The 5,792-nt window shown below is 47.0% G+C and overlaps 1 annotated feature.

The window, feature by feature from the left end:
• Positions 4,121-5,320: an enhancer, noted in NCBI's record as "BRD4-independent group 4 enhancer chr6:164039878-164041077 (GRCh37/hg19 assembly coordinates)". NCBI's record gives its function as "activates an origin of replication core promoter dependent on BRD2, P300/CBP, MED14 and CDK7 cofactors, and independent of BRD4, by STARR-seq in HCT116 cells {active_cell/tissue: HCT116}" and the evidence as "EXISTENCE:reporter gene assay evidence [ECO:0000049][PMID:35650434]".

Genomic DNA, 5,792 nt, shown 5'->3' with positions numbered 1-5,792 from the left:
GGTGGTGGGTGCCTGTAATCCTAGCTACTCGGGAGGCTGAGGCAGGAGAATCACTTGAACCCAGGAGGCAGACGTTGCAGTGAACCAAGATTGTGCCATTGCACTCCAGCCTGGGCAACAGAGCTAGACTCCGTTTCAAAATAAAAATTTATATATATATATATTTCTAATAGGTAAAATTGCTAGACCCAACAATATTTACATTTTTGTAAACATTGACAAAGTAGCCTACAGGAAGTTTATGATAAACATAAACACCAATACTGGTACATAAAAGTGTTCACTTCCTACAACTTCTTCCACACTGGGGACTGTGATCTTCCTCTACCGGTTGCCCACAAAATAGTTAAAAAATAGGAATACATGGCTACTTTCGTTGTTTTTTGTTTGTTTGTTTTTGTTTTTGTTTCTTTTTTTGAGATAGAGTCTCGCTCTGTCATCCAGGATGGAGTGCAGTGGTGTGATCTCGGCTCAGTGCAACCTCGGCCTCCCAGGTTCAAGCAATTCTCATGCCTCAGCCTCCTGAGTAGCTGGAATTACAGGCATGTGCCACCACACCCAGCTAATTTTTGTATTTTAGTAGAGACGGGGTTTCACCATGTTGGCCAGGTTGGTCCCGAACTCCTGGCCTCAGGTGATCTGCCCACCTCAGTCTCCCAAAGTGCTGGGATTACAGGTGTGAGCCACCACGCCCAGCCAGCTACTTTCATTTTGTGTCTTAGCTTGCTAGTGAAGCAGAGGGTTTTCCCTGAGCCTTTGGCCAGCTCAACACCTTGTGTGTGTGAATTGTCTGCTCAAACCTCTCACCACTGTCTCCTGTGCCTTCCGATTTTTGGATTTATTTTACCAATCTCATCCTGTGTTTTGGCCTTTATTGTAAGTTGCCCTAAATGCTTTTTTTTTTCTGCTTCTTTTTTTTTTTTTTGAGACGGAGTCTCGCTCTGTCACCCAGGCTGGAGTGCAGTGGCGTGATGTCGGCTCACTGCGAGCTCCGCCTCCCGGGTTCACGCCATTCTCCTGCCTCAGCCTCCCGAGTAGCTGGGACTACAGGCGCCTGCCACGATGCCCGGCTAATTTTTTGTATTTTTAGTAGAGACGGGGTTTCACTGTGTTAGCCAGGATGGTCTCAATCTCCTGACCTCATGATCTGCCCGCCTCGGCCTCCCGAACTGCTGGGATTACAAGCGTAAGCCACCGCGCCCGGCCAAGTTGCCCTAAATGCTTTTAAGAAACAGGCATTTTCTTAGATGGACAATAAATAAATAAGAAAAAATACTGAGTTAAATTAAAAAAAAAAAACCCTCCTGTGGGGAAGGGACTTTGAACACACAAAGATGACCCTATTGGGGTCATGCCCTCCAAGAAGTTTATGGTTCAGAAGGCGTGATAAGGCATGAGTATACAAACAACATCACAAGAAGTAAGAAAGGTCACAAGGAAGAGATCATGACAGGCTGAATGAATTCAGAGAAGGCAGAGGCCTCTGTTCACAGGGAGGGTAGAGTATGGGCTTAGAGGAAAAGGTGGCTGTTCACCTGCACTACGGAGTTCAGTAATATTCTGGTATGTGGATGCTGAGAAAAAGCACGTCACGTAGCACGTACACATGAATAAAAAATGAGGCTCCAACCATGGGTACAACTGAACAAGAGAAAACATTTCCACTGGCTGTGGTAAAAATGGGGAAATTATGGAAATTAAGGCTGCAGTTTCCCATTGAACTCAGACTATGTAGACCCATGAAGGGCAGGCTATGGAATTTGGAATCCATTGTGTATAAGTAACTGGTAAGGCTTTAACTGATTTTTTTCCTTTGGAGTGGAAGTGCTTTAACAAAAATTGTGCTTTGGGGCTGGGCGTGGTGGCTCACGCCTGTAATCCCAGCACTTTGGGAGTCTGAGGAGGGCAGATCACCTGAGGTTGAGAGTTCAAGACCAGCCTGGCCAACGTGGTGAAACCCCGTCTCTACTAAAAATACAAAATTAGCCAGGCATGGTGGCGCGCGCCTATAATCCCAGCTACTCAGGAGGCTAAGGCAACAGAATCACTCGAACCCGGGAGGTAGAGGTTGCAGTGAGCCAAGATCGTGCCACTGCACTCCAGCCTGGGCAACAGAGTGAGACTCTGTCTCAAAAAAAAAAAAAAAAAAAAAGTGCTTTTGAAGGACAAAGCTAGAGTGTGTAAGGGTTGAAGGAGGAGCACTTGGAGAAGGTCCACCCTGATGAGAAACTGCTGCCAAAGCCAGGTCAGAGGCAGTGAGGACCAGAAAAGGGACCAGTATGGGGAATGGAGGCAAAGGAGAAGGCACAAGAGATTCAATCCACAGCAAAGACAGGGCCAGCCCATGTGCAGAAGAGACGGTCAACGCTTTGATTCATGGTCTACATGGAAGGGTTAGCCTGGTGGAGAAGAAAGAACTCATCTCTTTCTGAGGTGTGAAGGAGGCATCGAAAGTGCATGAGGATATAACGAAAATGAACAACATCGAAGTTGGAAGAACTCAGATGGCCTCGAGTTTCTGCAAGTTTATTTGGTAAGGTAGGAGTTAAGACATCCTCTTCCAGAAACTGGATGTTCATGGAGGAGTTGGAGAAGAGTGGGGATTTTGGTGATACATTCTATGGGACCTTTGAGAAGAGGTCATTTTGGGGTTTTTTGTTTGTTTTTTGGGGTTTTTTTGGTTTTTTAAAATTTTTCTGAGGGGCGATCTCGGGTCACTGCAACCTCCACCTCCTGGGTTCAAGTGATTCCCCTACCTCAGCCCCCTGAGTAGCTGAGACTACAGGCATGAGCCACCATGCCCGGCTAATTTTTGTATTTTTAGTAGTGATGGGGTTTCAACATTGTTGGCCAGGCTGGTCTTGAACTCCTGACCTCGGGTGATCCACCCACCTCGACCTCCCAAAGTGCTAGGATTACAGTCGAGAGCCACTGCGCCTGGCCAAGAAGAGGTCATTTTGAAATGAGTCAAAGGTTGTCCCAGCAGCACTGAGGCAGGCAGGCCACGTCTTCCTGCAGGAATTTGGATTGTCAGCTCGTCTGTATGACAACTTCCTCAGCACCACGCAGCAGCAGGGAGAGAAAGCCACGGGAGATTGATGGGTTGGTTGGCAGTGTTAAAAGAAAAACTTTAGACAAATTAAATTTAACAGAGTTTAATTGAGCAAGGAATGATTCGCAAATCGGGCAACCCCCGAACCAGAATAGGGTCAGAGAGACTCTCGTGCTGCCACAGAGTGGGAGAGGATTTATGAACAGAGAAAGGAAAGTGATGCCCAGAAAACGGAAGTCAGGTGCAGACACAGCCGGATTAGTGACAGCTGGGCGTTTGCCTTGTTTGAGTGGTTGACCACCTGCGATTGGCCAAAACTCAGGGACTGGTACAAGAGTAGATTAATTACAGTCTGTTTACATGTCCACCTAAGTGATAGCTCACTATGTACAAAGAAACCTTTAGGCCCAACTTACAAGGAAGCAGCTCTAGGCTAAAGTTTTAACATCAGGAAGCAACGCGTTCATCCATTCAACAGTCACCTATGGAGCTCTTGGAAAAGGCGTCCTGGGGGTGGCAGCGCCATCCTGCCAGGTACATATACCAGGCTGAGGGGCCCATGGCACACCTGAGAGCAGTCTTGTCTACACACCCACGGGATGTGTAGAAAAGGAGGAAAAGGACTCAAGGGCACCACAAGGAGCACATTTGAAAGGTGGAGCAGAGGGTCCAGTGGTGGACAGGCCAGCGAGGAGCAAAGAGCCCAACGGATTGAGGAAGGGGCAGTGGAGATGGCGGGGCAGGGACACCAAGATGAGTGTGCTGCATCTGTGCTGCACAAAGTCACTCAGTCACGGGCCTAAATGGGGTGCAGATCCACCCTGTACCCCTGGTTGGGCTCTGGGCATATGTGGCTTTGTCCATTCTGGCTGCTGTAACTGAATAGGTCGTGGCTTATGAACACCAGAAACTTACTTCTCACAGTCAGGGGACTGGAAGTTCAAGATCAGGGTGCCAGCATGATTGGGGTCTGGTGAGAGCCCACATCCTGGTTCATAGAAGGCCATTTTGTCACTGTGTCCTCACATGTCAGAAAGAGGGCCAGGGAGCTCTCTGGAGGCTCTCGTATAAACTCCCTGATGAAGCTTCATGACCTGGTCACCTCCCAAAAGTGATCCCTAAAACCATCCTAATACCATCACCTGGGGGGGTTAGGATTTCAATATGTGTATTTTGTGGGGACACAAACATTCAGTCCAAAACAATATGGGTGATATGGTTTGGACTTGTGTCCTTGCTCAAATCTCATATGGAATTGGAGGAGGGGCCTAGTGGGGGTTGATTGGACCATGGGGTGGATTTCCCCCTTGCTGTTCTTGTGATAGTGAGGAGTTCTCACGAGAACTGATGGTTAAAAGTGTGTGGCACTTCTCCCTTCACTCTCTCTCACTCTCTCTCTCTCTCTCTCCTGCCCCCACGTGAAGGTGCTTGCTTCCCCTTCGCCTTCCGCCATGATTGTTAGTTTTCTGAGGCCTCCCAGCCATGCTTCCTGTACAGCCTGTGAAACTGTGAGTCAACTAAACCTCTTTTCTTCGTAAATTACCCAGTCTCCGTGGGTAATTAGCAGTGTGAGAACGGACTATTACAACGGGTCTATGACCACCCAGAGCAGGAAGCATTTTGCAGTTCACCCATCCAAAATGGGCATGGCTTTTCTAATGTGCAGGAAAGCACTAGGTTGAGCTGAAGGCCACAGTGAGAACCGGAACTGCATGGGAAAGAGCAGAGGAAGTTGAGAGCGGAGAAAATGTCAGTCTTCCAGACTCAGGGGTAGCACAAACTGAGCAGAACTGGAGGGAAGCAGAGAAGAAAATAAAATGAGCAAAGGACTTAGAATAGGAATCAGCTAATTAATGTATTAGGGAAACTGAAGAAAAATCGAATGGAGGAAGATAGAAAACAGACGCGCGTAAGGAAGTTGCGTTCTTACTCCGTGTGGGGAATATGGAAGTTGCTTCCTCCTTGTCGCACTGAAGAGCGTCGCCTGAGGCTGCAGATCTTCATCCTGAGGCTGCAGATCTTCATCCTGAGGCTGCAGATCTTCATCCGACCGTGCTTCATCCTCTGCTCTGGCAGCTCGCGGCAGCTCCAGGTTAAAGCTCTCAGCTTTAGCCACTAACGGTAAAAATCTTTTCAAGCATTTGGCTCTGGTCACCCCAAGCAGTAAAGCAAATCACTTTCTTGGGTCGTTTCTTTTTTATTTGTGTGTGTCATGAACATGAAATACATGATGTTACAACAACAATATGATTGATGACTTAATGGGCTGAACTTAAATTTAAGTAATATTTCCATTAATCTAAAAGCTCTGTCTTAAAAGTCTGTAAAATTAATTTATTGGAAAAAATTTATCCTAACTCTACCAGAAAATGTCCTCTGAATAATAATGCCCTAGATTTTGTAGCTTTTTCTTCCTTTTTGATCAACTCATGCTTTCTTCCTGCAGATGTGTTGTCAAAGATGGACCAAAAAATCTCAACACCTAAAGTTCAAGATACGCGTCTATAAACCTTGAAAACGCACGGGGGCGTTTGGAGAAAGGCAGAACACCGGAAAGATAATGCGATACACAAGAGATTGATTGGAGACGTTTCCAAAAAGGAAAGGCAGGCCATTCCTCTCTGGCCAAGGCTTGGAGACTGTGGGTACCAGAAGAGAGCCGTATGCCTGGAATGGAGCAAGGACAAACAGTCATAGGTCTCAGCCCTGCCCATTTAAACTAATCATTCTACTCTATAGA

The sequence above is a fragment of the Homo sapiens genome, chromosome 6, assembly GCF_000001405.40.
Source record: "Homo sapiens chromosome 6, GRCh38.p14 Primary Assembly".
Lineage (NCBI taxonomy): Eukaryota > Metazoa > Chordata > Mammalia > Primates > Hominidae > Homo > Homo sapiens.
The sequence above is the reverse complement of the archived record's forward strand: the minus strand, read 5'-3'. Positions and strand labels throughout refer to the sequence as shown.